This window comes from Homo sapiens, chromosome 8 (genome assembly GCF_000001405.40).
Source record: "Homo sapiens chromosome 8, GRCh38.p14 Primary Assembly".
NCBI lineage: Eukaryota > Metazoa > Chordata > Mammalia > Primates > Hominidae > Homo > Homo sapiens.
In genome coordinates, this window is record NC_000008.11 from 138,476,302 (window position 1) to 138,499,237 (window position 22,936).

General features: G+C 45.3%; 1 protein-coding gene across 12 annotated transcripts in view; it reads right to left on the bottom strand.

Moving 5' to 3' along the window:
• The window catches only part of FAM135B (family with sequence similarity 135 member B), a 367,708-nt gene extending 346,279 nt beyond the window's left edge, over nucleotides 1-21,429 (bottom strand). For 6 of the 12 annotated variants that reach the window (XM_011517058.3, XM_017013471.2, XM_011517056.3 and 3 more), the window contains exon 1: nucleotides 1,016-1,127. The gene's annotated coding sequence lies outside the window, so the exon portion shown is untranslated. Of the gene's footprint in view, nucleotides 1-1,015; nucleotides 1,128-20,369; nucleotides 20,961-21,325 lie in introns of those variants that run through there. The other 6 variants (NM_015912.4, XM_011517062.2, XM_011517061.3 and 3 more) reach the window with 3 other exon arrangements.
• Nucleotides 21,430-22,936: the final 1,507 nt, after the last annotated feature.

Below are 22,936 nucleotides of genomic sequence, written 5' to 3' on the forward strand. Positions count from 1 at the left end.
TTTATCAAAACCAACAGAATGTGCAACACCAAAGTGAACCCTGATGTAAACCATGGATTTGGGGTGATAATGATTTGTCAGTGTAGGTTCATTAATTATAAGAAATGGACCACGGTGAGGTGGATGCTGATGAGGGGCTGTGCATGTATGGGGATGGGGGATGTGGGGTATCTCTCTATTTTTTTTTTTTCAATTTTACTGTGAACTGAAAACTACTCTAAAAAATTAAGTCTATTAAAAACAGAAAAGGAAATAAACACAAAATAGCCTTTCATCTAGCCATATGAACCCATCATGAACCTATTGAATCAATCTCCTGCAGAACTCAGGAATAATTTTTAAATAAAAAATATAATCAGTATAACCCACTTTCAGAAACTCCTTTCATGCTTTTCATAGCCTAGCCTATAAATTAAAGGGCTCTGGGCAAACAGTTAGCATTTTTTTCCCCTTGTGCATTAAGAATCTGACCACTGGATAAATTTTCTAAGCTGTTTTCCTGGAAACAGATATATCACTTAAACAAAACAGTACTGCTTCTTGTAAAATGACCCCTGTTGTTAAGAGGACTGGAGCTGGACTGGGATAACTATAGATACCTGATGAAGATTCCTTACTTTGGGTTTTCCCGATTATGGAGACTCCTATAGTTAGCATGAGAGAAGAAGCCAAGAACCAAGAAGCAATGCCTATGGAGTTCTTGTGAGAGAGAAATGGTTCCTGAAAGGCATGAGACTTTTAAGCCATGTGGAACCTGAACCATCCAATATACATCGTCCTTCCTTGCATCTGAGCTATTTGCCATGTAGCTGCTGCAAAGGCTCTTGCTAATGAGGAACACCCGTGATTCCTGAGTTGGCAGATGTCAAGTGTCACCAATGGTTGTCCTATGTGTCTAGTTGAGACTAAGAAGAACCCACTCCCCTTTTACCCTTCTCCAATAGAACAAACTATTCACATTTGCCAGCCAGGATCATGTAATCTCTTTTCCCTGAGCTTTCTTGCATGTCCTTACCTCTTCTTTGTCACCTACCAATTCTCTTCCTTCAAGCTCAGCCGCAGAGTCACCTTCTCTAGGGATACCTTCACAAACCATACCCTACACTGGGTGAAGAGCTCCTTCCTTTGGCTCCCAAATCACCACAGATCCCTCTTACCCTATGTTTTCATCATCTGTTTGTTTATCTGTTGCCTCATTATGAGCTGCTTGATCGTCATGGCTACAAGGTCATGGTAACCTTAGATGGCTGACAATCCCATTTTTTGTAAATGTAAGCTGATCCTGTCACTCACACTAGCAGGCACTACTAGTTTCTTAGCCAAAATCTATCCTCCTTTTCTCACTAAACAGAATGGTGATATTAACTGACACCTATACCCAGACAGGCACTTCCTCAGATGCCCTTTTGGTCAGTGGTGGCCATGAGGGCCAGTTCAGTCTGAGAAGATGTTAGTGAAAGTCTAGTGAATGGAATTAGGAGAAAGATACTTTGTCCTGATTCAAAGAAATAAACTTTGCTGCCATATGCTTTTGCCCTTCACCCTTCCTGCTTCCTATATATCAGAAATATGGACATCATGTCTGATTATAGAGCAGAGATCTCATGGTCATGAACCAGAAAAAGACAGACATACAGTAAAGATGTCAGAGAAGAGATCCTGGGAAGCCTGGGTTCTTGACGACTTCCCACAAGTAGCAGCATGAGCCAGATCTGTTGTTGCACGAGAGAAATAAAACCCTATTTGGATAAGCCATGTCGTGAGGTTTTTGTTATTCCAGCGGAACCCCATGTTAACTGGAAGAAAACTACACATAATTTCTTCCCCCAAAACAAGATGAAATCCCAACCCATCCCCCTGACACTCCCTGCATCTCAGGGTCTGTGTACCTTATCAGTCCCACCTCCTGCCACTAGTCACACATGCTCTCTGAGCCCTAGTCATTCTAAATGTGTTAACAAGCGCCCCTGAAAACCCTGTCTTTTGCTATAGGTCCTTGTCTTTGCAAAGGTTCTTCTCTGTCCTTGGAATGCCTTTTTCCCCATGAGCTTCACCCAAAAGTATCCAACTGGCCTATCAACATGGGGGTGCATATTACCTCCTCTTTAAAGCCTTCCTTGATTCCATAGTCCCTCATTCCCCTGAACTTCCAGAGAGCACCCTATGGTTGCTTTTGTCGCAGCAATTAATAAATAACTTCCAAATTATTTGTTTTATCATCTCCCTTCTCCACCAGAACTTGAAACCACAGAGAGCAGTGATCCTGCCTTATCAGACATTCAACATAGTGTTGAAGGGTGCTTCTAAATACACTGGCTCTACCTACCAAAGTGGTGACCCTGATCTCTAACTCTACGGATAAAATTGGGATGGCACTAGGTTAGCCACATAAGACAACCCTAGGGATATAATGCTACAAATAATAAGGGCCTTGCCCTTGGGTGAGTGTTGAGGAAGACATGAAAAGACATTTCCCATAAGGAGGGGAAAAACAAACCATTTTTCAATACACTCACAGATAAAACATCTCTGCCGGCAGATGTGTTGGTTTTGCACACTGAGCAATTCTGACACTAACCGCCTGGGGTCAGTGCAGACCCTGCAGGTTAAGGGCTCAGACCCTTAACTTCAGATGCCAATGGGAAGTCCAGTTGTCATCTGTGCCTCTGACTGACCAGCTCTATGTCACAGGTTCCCACAACCTCCTCATCAAGTTTAATGATTTCTTAGAACAGCTGGCAAAACTCAGGAAAACATCTACTTACATGTATCACTTTATAACAAAGGATGCAACTCAAAAAGCACTGAAAAGAAGAGATACATCAGGCCAGGTATGGAAAGCGGTGTGGAACTTCCATGCCCTCTCCAGGCAGCCACCCTCTCAGCACTTCCACGTGTTCACCAACCAGTGAGCCCTCTGAACCCTGTCCATGTGGGTTTTTATGGCAGTTTCACTACATAGATATGACTGAATAAATCATTGACATTGGTAATAAATTAAGTTTCCAGCCCCTCTCCTCACCCCATCCTGGAGGTTGGGAGGCCGGGGGTCTGGCAGTTCCAACCCTCTAATCACATGGTTGATCCCCCTGGCAACCAGCCCCCACTCCCCTCGTCTAGGGGCTTTCCAAAAGTCACGCCATTGATATCAATTCAGACAATGTTGATAGAGGCTTGTTATGAATCACAAAAGTTGCTACTTTCATCTTTATTGCTCTTACCACTTAGGAAATTATAAACGTTTTAGGAGCTCTGCGTCCATAACTGAGGACTAAAATAAAAATTTATATTTCTTATATCACAATATCATACAACCCTGGAGTTGGGCACCCTAGGGATTCAATAGATAATGCATGCAAAGTGCTTAACATAATGCCTGCTAAAATAAATTCAACAAATATTAGTTTTGGGGATGATGATGATGATTGTATCTTTGTATCCTCAGCACTGGACTTGGACTATAGTAGGTGCTTATTAATATTTTTTGGATAAATAAATGAAACAAAATTTAGGTCTTTTGTTCTTGCTTCAAAATTACATAGAGCTCTAACATCTCAATACAAAAGAACACAAAAACCAAATGATATCCCTGTGCACCTAATTTTCCCACAAAACTACCTCCTGATGTTTATCCCCCAAGGCTTACCCCATCAGGGAGGCTCAATTCCTCATTGAGACAGTCTGTTTCTGAGCACAGTGAGGCCCTGGGGCTGCCACTTTGCAGGGAGGTTCTCAGTGGTGCCAACTGTGCTGGCAGGACTGGGTCAGTAACAAACACAGCTAAACAACACGGTCATTCATTGGATCTGGATGTCCATGAGCCTCTGGGAGTTGAGCACTGGCTCCACCATTCTTAACAATTTAATTTCCTCATGTGAATTCCATGGGGACTCCCTGGGACAAGAGAGGGCTGGAGAGAAGTGAGCAGCCATTTATAACTAGTGCTCAGCTCAGGAGAGCCTAACTTGGAGACTAGCTCTCAGCCTGTGCTAGTAGCTCAGGGGAAACCTCAAAGTTAGTTATTTTGATCTATCTGGTTCCAAAACATCATTACCTTGACATGATGGGATCGCTCTGTTTCTGTAGGCTGTTGTCATCAGGTTGTATAATAAAATCCTAATGGCAGAATTATATAAACATTTATTGTACAGCTATGGTGTGGAAGCCCTGTGGAGAAAGACAGACTGTGAAATAGGCTCAATATTCAAGTTGTCCACACTCAAATAGGATTTTTTTAATCTAAATAAGTATCTCTACTAAAAGAGAAATAAAGAATATATGAGAGAAATAGGAAAAAATGAGAGAGGTTCAGTGGAAGAAACAAATTCAAAGGAAAGAGAAAATATTTCCTAATGGAAGAAAGCCAACATGAAACAACACTAGGATGATCTCTGCATCTCTCGTCATTTTGAGAAGCAAGTCAACTTGTCCTAGTTTGCACTGATTGCTCTGCAGGACTGTGAGTCCGTCTCTATTTAACAAGTTAGCCTTCTGAAACAGCTTTGGAATCAGATGCCTCTAAGTTGGAATTTGGGTTCTGAGACTGATCATCTTTGTGACTCTTGGCAGGGCACTCAACTCTCTGAGCTTCAGAATCTTCATTTGTGAAAAGAGACCAGTAAGAATGCTTTCATCTGATAAAACTGTTGTTAAGATTACAGGAGAAAACCCTTGTCTGTTGAATGAACATGTGTTTGAACACATTGTTTAGAAGGGAAAAGAAAAAGAAACTACTGTCTGTTACCTCTGACTTCTCCCTACTCTCCCTGTTAAAAGAATTTAAGTTTGAGGAGATAGAGACCATGCCTGCCTTGCTCTCAACAGCATCCGCAGCACACAGGATGATACTTGGCACATGCTATAGACTTGATTAAATTTCATTTACTAATAAAATAAATATTCTTTCTCAATTATGTCACATGGTATCAGGCACTTTGTTAAGTCTGTGTATGCAGTGGTTACATCAGTCAATCATCCAGGCCACCTAGGACAAAAATAGTCTTGTTATCTCCATTTTACAGACAAGAAAACAGATTCAGAAAAGTTAAAGGTTTTGCAAATCAGAGCTAGTGAGTGGCACAGTTGAAACTGGAACAGGATTTTTTGAATTCAAATGCTCTGTTTGCATCCTTCAGGTCAATTAGCTTGCATATTACAGCTGAGCATAGCAGGGCAGAGAGTGGGTCTGAGCTAACGCCAGTGGAGCAGGCTTTTGTGAAAGCACCGATGGCTGCACCATTCCCTTAGGTGGACAGTGATTGAACTGGGTATGTTTTAGCATAGTCCTGGGAGTCTAGCCCTTCAAGGCTGGCTTCCACACTGCCTGCCCCAGTTATGCGGCTGTAACACAGCCAGCCTTTGGTCATGCTTTATTGCTTTATTCTCGCTTGAATGACAGCTCCTCCACTCTATCATTTTCACTTTCCACTTGCTCCTGCCTCTGTCCCATCAAATCCAGTGTCTGTTCAACTGGTCTCTCCCAGCAACTGGTCTCTCCCAGCCTCTTCAGGGAATTGTCCTATAAGACCAGCTCCAGAAACCAACATTTTACCATGAGTTTGTGCATCTAACAGTGCCAAGGCCAGACCTAACTTTAGAAGAAATGATTGGAATAGTCAGGCATTAGATGGGAGTACAAGATAAATAAGTCAATGGCCTCCCCTGGAGGAGTTCACCATCTGGAGAAGGAGGGTGTGGAATTGTTCAGTTCAGAGATGGACATTAGTGTATGGGCTACATTGTCAGCACATAGGGCAGAGGAGTCCATACCACATCATGCCCAAGCTTCAGCTGAAAGATGCAAAAGAGATTCCCAGACTATAGAGGGAGGATGGAAAGGAAGTGCCACTTCAGCAGAGGCGGCATGAGTGTAGGCCGTGCAGGAGTGACACCTTGCTGGTTTCCAAAGATGTGGGAAACAACAAGGTCCATAGGGTATCTGCATGGGGTGAGGAAGTGTAGGGAAGAGGGAAATAGGGAAGAGCGTGTTGAAGTACGTGGCCACGAGGGCCATCAAGAGCCTGCTCAGAAGATGCCTGTAATCTTTGTCAGACTCTGTAATTTAGGGAAATGAGCATCCTACCAGGGTTGACTTTATGAGTGCATGCCCTATGTAGTCACAGAGGATCCCATACCATGCTTAGAAGAGCCCTCCCTTCGGTTAATTGCTCTGTTGTTACCATCTTGATATTAATAATAATTTTTAACAAGGGGCTCCACCTCTTCATTTTGCAGCTGGCCCTGCAAGTTTTGTAGCCAATCCCAGGTCCTACCTAGTAACAGTAGCTTACACTTCCTAGTGTTTATATATAGTATGCCAGTCACTGTTTAAATGTTTTTCATATGTTAACTCATTTAATCCTCAAAATACTCCATTAGGTAGACATATTGTTCTTGCATTGTTTGATGAAAGGATTTATGCTCAGATTAGTTAACAAACTTGACCAATGCCAGTAGCAAAGTTAGGATTAAACCCAGTTTTCTGGCTTCAGAGCCAGTGTTCCTATCCACTCACATTGGGTCTCTTCATTTTACATTTTCACCATGGAGTAGTACTCTGAGATACCCACATTTTTAGAAAAAAATGTTGTTAAACTATTTTAGCTTCCATCCACCCACCCATGCACCCATCCATCCATCTACCCAAGAATTCATTTAATGACTCCATAAGCCACATTTTTCTACAAAACCTGTGCCAATATAGTACCTAGACTTAGGTGCCTCAATGAATTTTGCTTTAATAAATGGAAGAGACTATATTTCAGGAACAATCAATTTAAAATTTGAAAAAAAAAAATCTCACTGTCTCTAAGAAACAGAGATGGACTTAAATCAATGCTTAAAGTGCAAAAGTTAACATTTCTTGAGTCTTGCTATGGGTCACATTTCTAACCACATTTCTTCTTGTGTTTGTTCTTTAATCCTAACAAAAATTTGAAGGAGGCACCATTTTATTTTTTATCCCAACTTTACACATGAAGAAATGGAAGTACAGAGAGGCTGAGCAACCTGTCCTGGGTAACACAGCTAACCAGGAGAGGAGCGAGGCTTTGAGCGACGTGTTACCACACAACCCACAGGCTGTCAGGCCTCCAAGCTGGGGTCTTAGCCAAGCTGCTGTGGGAGCAGAAAGACAATGAATTCAACCATCAGAGGGGTGGGAAATGCCTTTTCAGAAAAGATGGCAACTGAGGTGAATCTGAATCCATGAGGAGGCTGCCCAGATGAAGGTGGGGTTTGTACATGTGTTTACAGGTGCCTGTGTAACAGAGAGAGAGGGAGAGAGACAGGAGAGGCAATAATATCATATTGTGCTAAAATTATAAATAGATGTACCAGCTCCCTCTTTGGGGGTACCTCACCCTCTGTACCCCTGGAAGCCATAATCAGGACCCCAAAAATACTTGCAAGGACAACTTCCAGCTCAGGGCACACTGCTCATTCCTGCAGTGACCCTATGCAAGCCTCAATTGCATTCCACTGGGTGTCAATCCAGTCTCAGTTTTAACTTAGAATGAGATGCCTCTTAAAGCAGTATATTGATTTTCAGTCTAGGTATACACTATACGTTACATTTGCATCCCAGGAGTTTTGACACATACATTAATCACTGAATTTTGAATAAAAATATCTAGGGGGACACTGAATGAAGCCATACAAATAAGAAAGAGCAGATCTGCAATTTTAGTAAATGCTCCTTTTTTCCAGTTTGTTTCAAGAAAGTCAATAAAGTATAAAGTGAAAGGATGAACACCTAATATTTTGACTGCTCATCTGAGCAAGCAGGGAGGACATAGATTTCTCTGGATGTCTTTTTCTTTTTTTAGCCTAAGCAGGATTCTAATTCTATGAGTTTTTTTCAAGTAAATGTGCCTGCAACCCTTCACGCAGACCTGATATGAGGGATCCTCAAATAAATCCCCTCCTCCAAGTTAAACAGGAGCTCTAGTCCTTTCTCAAGTTCACACAGCTGGGTGGCTAAAGGCAAGCAATCTTGAGTAAATAGGGTATTTTGAGGTTTTATTTGGGTTTCTTTATTGGCTGAGAGGGAAATGGTTTGTTTTACTTTCATGATTTATAGCTGAATTTTGAATACCCTTCACAGGGGATATCTACAGTGCAGCCGGGAAGGAATAAGTTTTGAGATCAAACAAATTTGGGGATCAGCTTCTGGCGACTGTGTGACTGTGAACAGTATTTTGCCCTCTTGGCTTTTATTTTTTTAGGGCTAATGATGGCCCTGCATGAAGATGACATAAAAGTTTCACCTGGGGAAGTACTTTCTACAGTCTACAGCTCATAGTAGGGGCTTAGAAAGAGCTTCCTTTTCCTCTCACGCACACCACTTCCTAATTCAATGTTAATCTGTCGCTGAAAAATGGTTTTATTATCATTCTTTTTCTCCAACATCCACATGCTTTTGAAAAGAAGAGGGGAAAGGAAGAAAAAAAAAGAAACCTGGGAGAATCTCATTCTGTTATTCAGAAGCAATTATATTAATATTCATTTTATTCTCCCAAAAGGCCAACACAAGCTGGCCTGTTAAAATACCAAGCTTGATGAATTCTACCTTGGGCACAAGAGTCCATGGATAATCTTATCTTTATACATTTCCTTTAAACAAACTAAAAATGCAATTTATTATTCAGTGCATTTTATATTCTGAGTTAAAATCAACGAGGTTTCACCAAAGCCACCAATTCAGTTGCCTTCTCTCCCCTTGCAACAACACCTCAGCTAAGATGATGTGTGCTCCAGAAATTAATTTTCCAGATAACTAATATCAAGTCCTTTAAACACCAAATAGTTTTATATTTAATTTTAGTAATTTCTGATGTAATCTATTTTAGAAATTATACTCTTATTTCAGCAGAGTTTACAGACTGTAATTTCGATTTTCTTTTATGACTCATTGTCACACTTCTGAACATAAGCTACTGCTCAGTGTTGTCATGGGTTGATGGCCTCAAAGATCCCTAAGGCATAACCATTTCCAAAGCCACACAAGGTCCCAGAGTCTTCCCTAATGATATTCCCTTCGTCCATCCCATCCAGAGTTTCCATTCAAGGAAGAGTCGCATCGAGGTTCCTCAGTTTTCAGAGTGGAATGACAATCCGCCATCCTCTTGGTTGATATTAAGTACATACACAGATCAGCCTTTAGTCAGAATAAACATTGATTAATCTCCTACTATGTGCCAAGTATTACAATAGAAGCTGTTTAATTTTATTTTTATGCAAATTTTATTAAAAATTCCTCATAGGTTGTGTATTATCATTATTTTAGAGATAAAGGAACTAAGGTTAATACAGTTAAAGCAACACGATTGAAGTCTTTCAATCTCCTAGGGAGAAACTGAGGTTACAATCAGGTTATTGGGAAAAGTACTGCTGAAATTCCACACCATGAAACCCATGTGGGTAAGGAGGGGAGTTATAAAAAAGAGGGCTAAAGAACTGAGGGAAATAGGGGAGATCACTGGGCCAGAGGAATCCAGGCAATCAAAGAACAGCAATAGTAGGAAAACTCAAAAAGCAAGCTAAGAGACGAGGCCATGTTCGACAGATCATCTGGAATGCAAAACAAGTATGATATGTGAGTGAGTGTGTGGCTAAGGGGAGTAGAAGAAAAGCTATCTGAGTAGAAGGTGGGATCCAGGATGGTTTAGGGGTCACCTACTTAGACTTGGAAAGCCTCCTAGGTAATTGCAGAAGTGGCTGGTAAACAAAACCAAGCTTCAGGTACCAAAATGATCAGTGAGTGGAGAGTAATGTGTGAACAGCTAATGCAACCCCACCAGGCTGGAAGGTACTGGTGTAGCTGGCATCCCGTTGCACTTTTGCTGGTCAGTAGATGCTTTTAAGAGACAAGCAGAAGGAGTGGCTAAGTCGGGATGAAAATCCACGTAGGGTTCCTCAGGTTCCAAGCATGGCAAAGTTTCAGGAGACATTTTTGCAGTATTTCATGACTCATTCCCTCAGGGCACAGGCATTTTCAGAGGATCAGAGGGTAGTAGGGCTGAATGATATGAGTCCCAAAGAATGAGCCCTGGGGAATGTGTGTGTCTTAAAGGAAGACCTGGAGGGCTGTAATTGAAATACTAATTAATGTAGTGGATGCTACTGCTGACCCACCTGGTCCCCTCTACTGAGCTGGCACTCTATCACCCAGTTGATTTTTTGGCTGCTAGCAGCCTGCAGTTGCTTTGTTCTTCCGAGAATTGCCCACAGCTGACGGGAGCTGCTTTTCCCAGAAATACTTGGGAGGATACGCTGCCAGAGCTGAGTCTACAGTGACAACAGCCTGGGCCCTGGCCTCAAGGAGGAAGACTGTGTGGGCCATGTGTGTCCCAGGGCATCCTGTGCCATCAGGCTGAGACTAGATATCCATGGCTGTCCTCTCCCTTGTCTAATACTGCTTCCCTCTCTCTCTGAGGTTTCAACTGAAGGTACCTGCTCAGCCAATCACTTGCACAAGAATCTCCATTTCAGTTTCTGCATCTGAGGAACCAGACCTAAGGTGGAGTAAGCAGGACCTCTCCACGAAGACCTAGTAACTGCCCAGGGTCCCTTGGCTAACAAATATCAGAAATAGGGTGACCAACTCATCTGTGTTGTCTAGGACCAAGAAGGTTCCTGGGATGAAGGACTTTCAGTTTTCTTTTCTTTTTTTTTTTAATTATACTTTAAGTTCTAGGGTACATGTGCACAACGTGCCGGTTTGTTACATATGTATACATGTGCCAGTTTTCAAACTGGAACAGTCCCTCTCAAAATGGTACAAGTTGATTACTCTAATCAGAACTTGGATTCAAACCAAAGTCTGCCTCACTCTAAAGGTTGCGATTTTCATTTACATGACCCTGTCTCACTAATACTCAGAAGACCTGCTGTTTTAGTTTTCACCAGAGAATACAATCACTTTGTGAAGTCCATGCAGGGACATCTGCAGGCTCCAAAGCAGCCCCATCCCACTTGCAGAAAAGGCATTCTTAGCTGGTCACGGAGGACTTAGGAGATCCATACCTTCCCGCCAGCCCCCATGGGACTACTTTTTTTTTTTCTGAGAAGAGTGGCTACAGATTTTATCAGATGCTCAAAGTGATCCGGGACTTAATTAAGGTTAAGAACAATTGTCTAAGAAAACATTGCTTTTATCTCTGGATTAAGCAGAACAGTGGGGTGCTGTACTTACATCTGATGCTTAATGTCTCAAGCAGAGCTGTTTCCCAGTAAATGGCCCAGCACCCACCCGTGCATTCACAGCAGCATGGTGGGTGGGAGCTGTCCACTGCATTCCTCAAACTACTCTCATCCAAGCCCTAGGTGTGTGTGGGGGTGGGGGCGGGGCAGGGGCTGGGCAGGGGTGGTACTTCTTTTCTGTTTCAACTGAAGTTTAAAACACACTTGTCACTTGTCAGCCAGGCACAGGGGCTCATGTCCATAATCCCAGCACTTTGGGAGGCCAAGGTGGGAGGATCACTTGAGGTCAGGAGTTCAAGACCAGCCTCGCCAACAAGGGGAAATCCCTTATCTACTAAAAATACAAAAAAATTAGCCAGGCGTGGTGGTGGGCACCTGGAATCCCAGCTACTGGGGAGGCCGAGGCAGGAGAATCGCTTGAACCCGGGAGGCAGAGGTTGCAGTGAGCTGAGATCGCACCACTGCACTCCAGCCTTGGAGACAGAGTGAGACTCTCTCTCAAAAAAAACAAAAAAAAAAGACGCCTGTCAGTGTCATCTGAGGAGATGGACAGGGGAGGTCATCCCTAGGGGGCAGGTGTCCAGCAGCAAGCAACCAGCCTACAAGGTGCCCCTGAACTGGAAGGCCACCTTCTGACCCAGGAACTGTAAATGGTGCTTAAATAGGGCTGCAGTTATTACTTTTTAAACGTAAAAGTATTATTTTATTATTGATGATTTCTGCATGTATCCTTCTATTTTTTGACAAACATTTATTGCACGCTAAATGGGTGTCAGGAACTATTCTAAGGGTTTTGTGCAGCTATGAGTACAGCAAAGTCCTTGCACCGGGGAGGTCACATCTTGCAGAGGAGATAATAGAAAACAAATAAACCGATGCATCTCTACTATTTCAGATAATGATATGATAATGAATTCTTTTGAGGAAAAAAAAAAAAGCAAGCTTGGTGGCTAGAGACTACACAGGGTTATTTAACTAGGTTGTCCAGAGACATCACTACAAAGAGGGGACTTAGGTGAGGAAAGGGAGTGAGCCACAGGAACATCAGGGGATGATCTGTCCCAACCAGCAGTGTAGACACAAAAGGAAAAATCCCTAAGGCCAGAGGAAGCCAGATAGTGTGCGTTTTTGTTTGTTTTTTTGTGTGTGAGTGTTTTTGTTTGATTTTTGTTTGTTGTTTGTGAGAGGGAGTCTCACTCTGTCGCCAGGCTGGAGTGCAGTGGTGCAATCTCGGCTCACTGCAACCTTCGCCTCCCAGGTTCAAGCAATTTTCCTGCCTCAGCTTCCCAAGTAGCTGGGACTACAGGCACGCACCACCACACCCAGCTAATTTTCGTATTTTTTGTAGAGATGGGGTTTCACCATGTTGGCCAGTATGGTCTCGAGGTCCTGACCTGGTGATCCGCCCGCCTCAGCCTCCCAAAGTACTGGGATTACAGGCGTGAGCCATCACGCCCGGCGTTTGTTTGATTTTTTGAATGAGCAGTAGTGTAGCCCTTGTGGGTCTAAAGGAACACCTTTGCTTCCTCTACCTCTATACTTCTCCTAGCCAATCACTGCTACTCCCAGGTTCTCAGTTATCATCTACGTGCTGAGGATTCCCTAAGTCTGTGTATTCCGCCAAACTCTTTTCTGAGTTTGATTGATATTGCCTAAAATGTATGTGGATGTCATCAGAGACCTGAAACTCCACGCATTCAAAACAGAACTCATCATTTCCTCCTGAAAACCTGTTCTTTCCCCTGTGTCCCCAGGCCAGTGAACAGCAGCAAAGCCAATCCATCAGACTAGGTCAGAAAATGGAGCATCATCCTGGAGCAGAGGTATTCTTCACTCTTGGACCCTGTATGTCAAGATTCTACTGACTGAATATTTCTCAAGTTGGTCCTCCTGTCTCCGTCTCTATTACCTTAACCTAGGTTTGGGCCATCTTTATGTCTAGGTACCCTAAATTTCCTGAAATAGACTCCCACCCAGTCTCCATGCCTCCTGTATAATTTACTTTTCTCCAATGCATTCTTTATATTGCAACCAGAATGGACCATTCCAAAATGCATGTTTGTATCTGTCATCTCCCAGTTTAAGATCTTTCCACCCCTCCCATTAGCTTCCAGATAAAGAATAAATCCATTCACAAAGTGTCCAAGGGCCTGCACACCCAGCCTCTACTCACCTCTCCAGCCTTTTAGCTTCCCACCCCTGTCTCAAGTTCTTCACCCACACTCTCTCTGAGCCCACACATCCTACTGCCTGCAATACTCTCTCAACCCCTGCTCTCCACCCTGGCTTTCTTCCATGTGAAACAGCTCCCCCGACTCCTTATCCCACGTTTATCTATGTAACTCCTACTTTCCATTCATGTCTCATATTCGATACCTCTTCCTCCAGGAAGCCCCTCGTGGCATTCCCAAGTGGGGTTAGGTGTCCTTCTCTGCTCTCAGGTCTTATCTCTATCATAGCTTTGCCACTGTATATTATAACTGCTTCTCTACTTGTTTGTCTTTTTTAGAAGTTATAAACTTCTTAAGCATATAAACATTATCTTCTTTATCTTGGCCCCCTTCAAGCTTCTATAACAGAGGATGGGGCATAATAGGCACTTTGGAAATAAAATTTTTGTTGACTGCCTTCATTTCACAATTGGGAAAAGAAGTCCAGGGAGGTTAAGTTCCTGCTTAAAGAACACAGCTAATTCATATCAGAGTTAACCCTAGAGTACCTGTATTCAAGTTTTGATCCAATTTTCTTTCAGATACCAGACTCCACATAAAAGATAAAACCTAGTTCTTAATCTCATAAGTACAGAGTCTAGGAGGGACTCAAGATCTAGACAAGAAAGCTACAGACTGCGAAGGTCAAGCCACAGGGTTGCACTGAGTGTTGGAGAGGAACACAGGGACCTGCAGGGCCCATCAGGAAAGTGAGCCTAGCCCTGGAGACATGGAAGAGGGCATGCCTGGTTGGGAGAACAGAGTGAGCCATGCTCAGACAGACAGACGGGTGGATAAGGGCCTTATCTGCCATCCTAGCAAGAGAACTTCCACCACAGGAACTTCCTGTCGAAACAGCTGCACCAGGAAGACACTCCCACAAAGGAAGCCTACACCACTCTGCCTCTAGATTATCCATATGCAAAGAGTTCATCCCACCACTACCTCCCTCCAGCTACCTGGGATGACACTCACCTCTTCTCTTCACTCTCCTTGCCCATCTTCCCCATAATAACTGAAAACTAAAGACTGTAAGTTGCAGTTATTCTAAGTAACTGAGAATATGACTTAGAGAATATGACGTCACTTCAACGTCTGCTAAATATAATGAAATTAAAGAAAAAACTCTAGAAGAGAAAGAAAAATAGGCCAGGCGCGGTGGATCATGCCTGTAATCCCAGAAATTTGGGGGGCCGAGGCGGGTGGATCACTTGAGGTCAAGAGTTCGAGACCAGCCTGACCAACGTGGTGAAACTCTGTCTCTACTAAAAATCAAAATTAGCTGGGCATGGTGGCACATGCCTGTAATCCCGGATACTTGGGAGGCTGAGGCAGGAGAATCGCTTCAACCCAGGAAGTGGAGGTTGCAGTGAGCCGAGATCGTGCCATTGCACTCCCAGCCTAGGCAACAAGAGCGAAACTCTCTCTCAAAAAAAAAAAAAAAAAGAAAGAAAGAAAGAAAGACAAGAAAAGAAAAATATTTCCTATATCACAAAGCCCAACAACAAAAGCTATATCATCAATTAAAACATAGGGCAAGACTTTAAAGAATGGGGTGGAAAGAATATGTCTAAAGTGACAAAGAAAGTGAACAGCAGAACTCAACCAGGCCCACACCCTCCAGTGTCTAGCTGGAGACCCCTCTAACAATAAATCTATAGTTTTCCGTGTCCCAAGAAATGTTTCATAAGAAATTTGATCTTGGTAGTCTTGCTATCCAATTGCCTAGTAATGCCTGGAATATTGCAGCTATGTAGGAAATAGTCACTTAATTCTAACCCACAATTTGGAACATGTCATTGTTTCTCCCTCAATCGTTTCCTCATTTTCTAATTCCCAGTCAATGCTGGGACCAGCATCTACTCTGGCACGGAGGCAATCCTACGTTCACTCATTCATTCATTCATTCATTCATTCAGCAAACATTTACTGAGTGCATATTATATGAGAGGATTTGTTCTACCAGTGGGAGTTCAACAGTGAACTACGTAATATATTGATAAGTACTATAAAGAAAGAAACATCAAAATAAGAGACTGTCATTGTAGAAGTAGGTGGTAAGGGTGGGCTAATGATATGCTAAGGTGACATTTGAGTTGCAGCCAGAATAAAGTAGGGACACCCAGTGATTACCAGGGAGAAGAATGTCCCAGGAGGAGGGAGTAGCATGTGCTGCTGAAGATCAGCCAGGAGGCCAGGGTGGGTAGAGGTGAGTGGCTGTGGAGGAGACCAGGTCACAAGGTGGTGAGCCGGGTTGGAACAGGGGCTGAATGTCGTGTAGGTTGCAGGTCATGGGAAATGCTTCAGATTTTACTCTGAGTTAGAAAACCACAAAAGGGCTTTGAGCAAAGAGTTTAATCTGATTTTAGTTTTATAAAGATCTCTCTGGCTGCCTTGTGCACAGTAGACACTGGGAAGCAGAATAGAGGCAGGGACATCAATTCAGAGCCTGGTTTATTAGTCCTTGCCTTCTTCTCTCACGGTGGGAGGATGGAAAGAAAGCCTGAGTATCAACCATGACCCCTCCTTCCTCTTGACCTATCAATGGTCAAAGGTCCCTAGAATGTCTCACTGATATTTTTGTGAGATAGGAAGCAATCTGTTCATTTCTCTGATACCTTCCTTCTGTTCCTCTCTACTATTCCTTCTCACACTATTTCTTCTCTGTCCTTCTCTTTTTCCCACCTCTCATTACCTGAAGTCAAGCATCTCTGCAGAGCCTCCTAAGAGGCCATAAAATCTTTGTTGGATCTCGCTAACCTGGCCTCTATCACAGCTGGGGAGAGCATCCTGCCCAGGTCTAGACCTTTCTGTGACTTCCTATGGCCTTCTGTTAGAGGAAAAGACTGGCTTGCAAAACTCTCAAACGTGTAACCCTACCATCTCCCAAGCCTCAACGGACACCACCTCACCCCTTGGCCTCTTGTTCCAGCCCTGCGGTTCCTTTCTCTTCCTTGCTACTTCTTGTCTCCAAGTCTCTGCATGTTGCTCTCCCTTTCTGATTGCCCTTCCCTCAGGTCTGCATGTGGAGATTCCTTCAGACTCAGCTTAGACTCTCTCTCCTTTAAGAAGGCATCCTTGACAGCCACCACCTAGGAAATATGTCGGAGGCTCCTCTTTGTTCCCGCAGACCCCCGGCATTGCCTGGTTTGTTCTTGCCGATTTCCATGCCTGATCCCCCAACTACATATTAAGCTCTTGAAAGGCAAGGACCTTGTGTTGTCTACAGTTGATTCTCAGAGTCTGGCATGATGAGTGACGCAGGGCAGGCTACTTATGCAAATGCCCTGTACCAGGCACATCACAGCACCACTCCATCCACACCGGAGGTGGAGGGAGGGCCACAGATCCCAGGCTCACAGTGCCACTTTCCTTTGTGATGCTAAAATCTCCCTCACGAGTCACTCCTGAGATGGGTGTGCAGCCACCTAGAAATTATTCATGTTTGAGCAGAAACATTTGACGTTTCTGAGCACCCAGTGTCTGGATAGCTCAGCAGATATTAGCGATGTCCGTGAATCTCTGCCAGCTCTCTCAGGTAAGATCAGACTTGAATCTGAATCTAAATCTTTAGGTCATTCTGCTCCCTCCTGGTGTCTCCCATGTGTAACCAAAGGAGGTTCTTGGTGGTTGGGACCATGACCATCTTCTTAGTTCTTCTTCTCTTGTAGAACTGTAGGTGAAATACAGGGAGGAGACTCATTTGGGGCATTTCAAAAAATTCTGGAACCCTCTATTATTGGCAATTACATCTATCATTTGCAAATTACAGATATTACGTATTGAGTGCCTGGCATGGCATTTTTCTTTCTGTGCATTTGCCTATCTATCTTGAAAGGTGGCTATCATTACAATGCTATGCAGATAAGGCAGATGGCTGGGGGAGCAAAATGATTTACTGAAGGTCACACAGAGCTAGTAAGTGAAGGAGCCAGCATTTGAAGCCCATGTGATGCTGTGAAATTAGACAAGGATTTTGCTCATTTTCTAGGACGAAAATTAAGGAAAAGAACAAATTTACTTAGAGTATTAATATTTTACAGTTAATGAACTACTTTTATGGCACAGCTATTAATTCGCTCCAAAACTCGACATCCCTGTGAGATGGGTATTCACATCCACACTTTATGAATGAGGAAACTGAGGCACAAGACAATCAAGTGCACTAGTTCCAGGTACCCTGAAAACTGAGATTAAATCTAGGCTATCTTAATCCAATGCTTGTGCTTTTTTACTATACTGGAGCTGAAATCAAGGAAAGAAATTGAAGCGAGAAAAAGATATTTCAAGTTTAAAATATTCCATCAGATGTTTTCAGCAAATGTTACATGAAGGCCATTCAACACCAGATTTCAGTTATCCTAAAGTGCCCACTTGAAAAAAAATGAGCATTTTAAAGCAAAATATGTGCTTCTGTTCTCCTTCACTTTGCCTCAGTGGGTTGACCCTAAATAATGCACAACAAGCCATGGAGCATCCTCCAGGCTTGCCACACAGACCGAGATGGCAAAAGCAGCCAGGAATGGCCTTTCTGCAGCCTACGTCTGCACAGGTGGTCATGTTAGAAGTAAGGCTCATTCACTCATTCAACAACCATTCATCATGGCCATGGCTGCACCAGGTGCTGCAGCCACAACCAAAGTCAGATAGGGAGAGGCACCTATCATTGGGAAGCATCAAATCAACAGAAAGGACAGGTATGTGTGCAAGCGATGACACAGCACAGTCCATCACAAAGGAGGTCCAGAGTGTTGTGGGAGCACATGAGAGAATATGGGAAAGCTTCCTATAGGAAGGGGCATTTGAGTTGGGTTGTTAAAGGAAGAAAGAAGTGAGAAATTGTTATTCTAGGCAGGGACACCACCATGAGCAAAATCAGGGGCATAAAAGAGCAGAGAATAGTATAAGACAGTCTTGGTTCCTTCCAGAAATTATAATTCCTTCAGCAATAAAATCAACCTGTCAGCATTCAGTCTATTTCAGTCAAATTGAGCAAATATTTGGTAAACACCTGACATTACAGAGCAGAGTTGGATGAAAGTAATCCTGCCCACGAGAAACCCACAACCCGAGGTGAACAGTTAAATGAGTCCCTACTCTGTCTAAATCTCTGTTTATACTGTAAAAAAAAAAAAAAAACTTAATCCACCCATTGTGAGCAGGCCTCACTGTTTCAAACTAGACGAGTGCTGCATTTGATGGCAAAGCACTTGACCTTCAGCACTTGTAGGCAAGGTGGATGGCATGCAGCATTTTCCCCTGAGAAGCCCTCTTTATGTTGCCCTGAGTGAATCTTGGACCAGACTACAGTGTTTCCACTGTGAGTCACTGACTAATATTTCCACTCTCTTTTCGTAGTTGATGGATGTTTAATGATTTGCCAATCTGAGGAAGAGAGATTCTTTAGAAAACAATAATCCCTTTTACTTGCACAAGACATCAGGTTTTAAAAAGCCCTTCCCAAACATCCTCTCCACATCCCATTGGATTGTGATTGAGCCTGGTAAACTGCAAGACTTGTTAGTTAGTATCCCCATTCTCCAGATGAGAGAAAGAAGCCTCAGTGAGGTGGAACAACTCAAGGTCACACAGCAGGTGCATGAGGAAATCAGAGTTCAAATCCATGTTTTCTGACCCTCCAATCTGGTCCACTTTCCTCTACACCTAACCATCTGTCTAAGCTCTGATAACATCATCCATATTATGACATAAATCTCCAGATGAGAGGTTGGCCAAATCACATCCCCTTGGGTAACATAACCACACCATAAATTAAAAGCCCAATTAAAGAACATAGCCTTTTAACTGGGACTTAGACTGTCCCCCGAGGCCACGATATAAAGGAAGAGCCCTTTCAAAGTCAATGGCTGCCTATCCTGGATATTATTCAGAGGCCTACTTACCTACATGCACGAACTTTCAGACCCTAATTATTCACATGCTATCTTCCTTCTTCCGGGGCCCTGGTCCCAGCTGATCTGAGTTTGTAATCACTCCCCAAGCTCTGGCCCTCTCTCCAGCCTGCAGATGTAGTTAACAGTCCATCACACTGTATGGACAGCCCAGGTGCCTCTCGGCTTTGACACATCACTTAACATCAAGAGCATCATAACCTGATGGAAAACAATGCCCCCTGGTTCAAATGGACAACTGAAGCGGTGTCTCCAGCTGTCTGAAAGCGAGATAGTTTGCCAGTGGCCAAGGAGCAAGGATTGTCACTATGAGCGATGTGATTCTTGTTTTGCTGGCAAAGTGGGGTGGGGAGCTAGAAATGAGGTGGGGAGAAGGGGAGGGCATAGTCTTGACTGCTAGCTCAAAATTTTATTTCTATTCCCATCCTATCCCTAATAGTCAACGGCAATAACATGATACTCCTGTGTCCCAAAATAATAACAGTTACTACTTGCCTCGTCTAAACATCCCCTCCAGTGACTGGGCTTGAAGCTGGCTCTACAGATCAAGAGCTGGTCCCTTTCCATGTCACAGCTGAGCTGCAGTGTCCCCGCACACCCCTGTCCCCAGCCAAGCCACAGGAAGAACGGGTCTGTGCATTCGCCTGGATCACAGGGAATCGCTGCCACTGTCCCCTCCACCCCAGTGCGGTCTTCTCCTGAGCCTGGCCCCCGGGTTCCCTGGCTCCAAGGACCCCAATGGCCAAGGTCTGCATGCGCCCCCTCAGCCTCCATCTGGGACTCCTGGGGGGAACCCCTCATTAACCCAGCCTCTCCGCTCCTTTCACAGCCCTGGCCCTTCTTATCCCCTCAAGACCTGTCCAGATGTGCAGCAAACCTGGAGGGCAGAGAGACTGGGGAAAATCGAGGGAGATAAACCACATTTTGCGGCGGAATCGCTGTTCCGTGACAGAAAGCCATCCAACTGGCAACCACGCTTGCAGAAGCGTCACTACCACCGACGAGAGAGTTTTGCAGCTGCCGACCCCGAAGCGCTCTCACCTACCTGTCTCCACTGCAGGGCTCCCCTCTCTCTCCCCCGGGGGCCGCGCTCCTGGGTCCCTCTCTCTCCTCTTTCGCCGTCTCTGGCCGCCAACAGTTGCGGCGGCGGCGGCGGCGGGCGGACTGGGGAGTCCGCAGCACCTGCGAGCTGGTGTTGGGTCCCCGCGGCGAGGCTGCCTGGAGGAGGAGCGAGCGGATGCTGCCCTCGCCCGCCGCCGCCGGTGCTGATGCGGTTGCTATGGTTATGGAACCCCGCAACTGCCCCCCTCTCCGTGCAACAGCTGCCCGGCCGCGGCCTCCGGGCAGCCCCAGCGAGCAGGCGCCAGGACGCGAGGCTGTCAGCGCGGTCGGGGGAACGCAGCCGCCAGCGCCGCAAGAAAGCAAGGACCGACCGGCTGCGCCCGCGCCGCTGGGCTGGCGCCTCCCGGGCTGCGCTCACCTCTGGCGCCCTCACTCCTCTCCTTCCTCCGCCGGGACGCGGCCAGACCCTCCGCGCCGCGCCGCGCGCCCTCGCGGCCGGGAGAGCCCGCCCTGCTGCTCCCGCTGGCTCCGCTCCGCAGCCGCTGCGCACCGCGTGGGTAGACGCTGCGCGACTGGCTGGCGGCGCGGCTCACGCGCTCCCACCTCGGTCCCTCTCCGCCGCGAGGCCCTGATGGGAGCCCGGGGCGGGCCGCCCGGCGGCCAAACCCCGCCCGCTCGGCCGCCCGGGTGCCCAGGGCGCAGGCTGCGGCCCCGCGTGCGGCCCTCCCAGACTGACCGGCGCGAGCATGCTCAGTCCCCGCGGCGGGGCTCCCCTCTCGAGCCAAGACCCCAGGCCTCGGGCAGGAAAAGGGTCCCTGCAGATATCCGGGGGCGGGGCGCGGCGGAGAACTGGCTGGGAGGGGACTGTTGAACTTGGAAGAGAAGCCCAGGCAACAAGTAGATGCCTGAGAAAGGGTAAAAGCGCTGAGCAACCCATACCTCCAATGCGAAGTCAGCAGTGGCCTTCAACCAGCCAGCCGGCCCGTCATCCGATGGGCTCCTCACTTCATGCTGAACGTGGGGGTTCACAGACGTGTGAGATTCTGTCCACGGAGGAGGGAGAGGAAGATTGGGGAGGGTTAAGCCAGCTCCCGTCTACTGAGCATTCTTAAGGGGCATTGGGAACTCTAATTATCACCACCACTGTGCTGGCAAGTTCTCGTGGCATGCCTGTGACAGATGACAAAACAGCCTTAGAGAAGGAGCCAAGACTGGGACTCGGAAGCCCAGTGACCCGTCCACTAGACTCGGCTGCACTAACTCCACCCAGGAGGAGGCAGGGAATGGAACCAGGCATTAGAGGATGACTATGTCCCCCATTAGACTGGGCTGCACTAACTCACACCCCAGGAGGAAGCAGGGAATGGAACCAGGCAATTGCAGTTGGCAGGAGGAGTCTCTAACCCTGTCAGGCTGGGGGCAGGGGCAAGTAATTGGGGAAAGATACCTGAAAAAAAGGTATAAGAACAAATGAGTGGGGCGGTGAAGGGTAGAGAAGACTGCTCTTTCCAGGACAAGAGGAGCAGGGTACAGAGGCCTGGAGGCAGGACAGAACAGCAGGAACCTAGCAGCAGCAGGCAAGGAGAGGTGAGGCAGGCGAGTGGTGAGGTTTACAGGGCAGGCACTGCACACCAAAGGCCTTGCGATCCAAGTGAAGGGGTTGGAATTTGACAATGTGACCCTTAGGATGGGAAGGGAATGGGGAAGGTGGTGGGGAGGAGGGCAGTGAAGCAGTTTAAGCAGGAGAAAGGCTGGGTGGGAATGAAGGGAAGATCACCTTAGTTGAAGTGTGTGTGGTGCTGGCTAGGGTGGGGATTAAGGCTGCAGAAAGAGGTGTCCTAAGGAGGCTGTTGACATAGTGGGCCTGGGCAGATGGAGGCTCTGAGCTATCTACCCTGCTTGTCCTCCCCACAGCACCCAGCAAGCCCAGGGCAATGCATACCCTCAGTAAATGTTTGGTGAATGGCAAATAAATATGAATTTCTCAATAGAGAAAATGGGTGCTTTTCTTTTACAATATTTGTCTCTTAAATGTGTTCATAACCATATGGCATTTATTTTGCTATTGACATTGCATTTTTATGCAACCTTATTTTTGAAAGTCAGTGCAAGCACTCATTATTTTCCTCTGCATTTTCTAGTCCCCAGCAGTAGAGATATGCCAGGAGCATAGGATTTACTTGTATTGGATGTATTGTCTGGATAAAACAGCTCCATGATTTATTAAGTGAAAAAGCAAAGTGCAGAATAGATAAAATAAGATAATATTAAAATAAGACAACTGTTGTGAAACAAGGAGACAGATACACATATTTGTATTGCTTGCATTGGCATAAAAATACGCTAGAAGGCTATGTAAGAAACTTGGAGAAGTAGCTATTAGCTATGAGGGTGAAGATGGGTGGAAGAACTAGGTTGACGAGGTTAGAGTGAGAGTGAGAATTTTGACATACACTATTTTTTTGTTTCTTGAGACAGGGTCTTACTTTGTTACCCAGGCTAGAGTGCAGTGGCACAATCTTAACTCACTGCAGCCTTTAACTCCTGGGC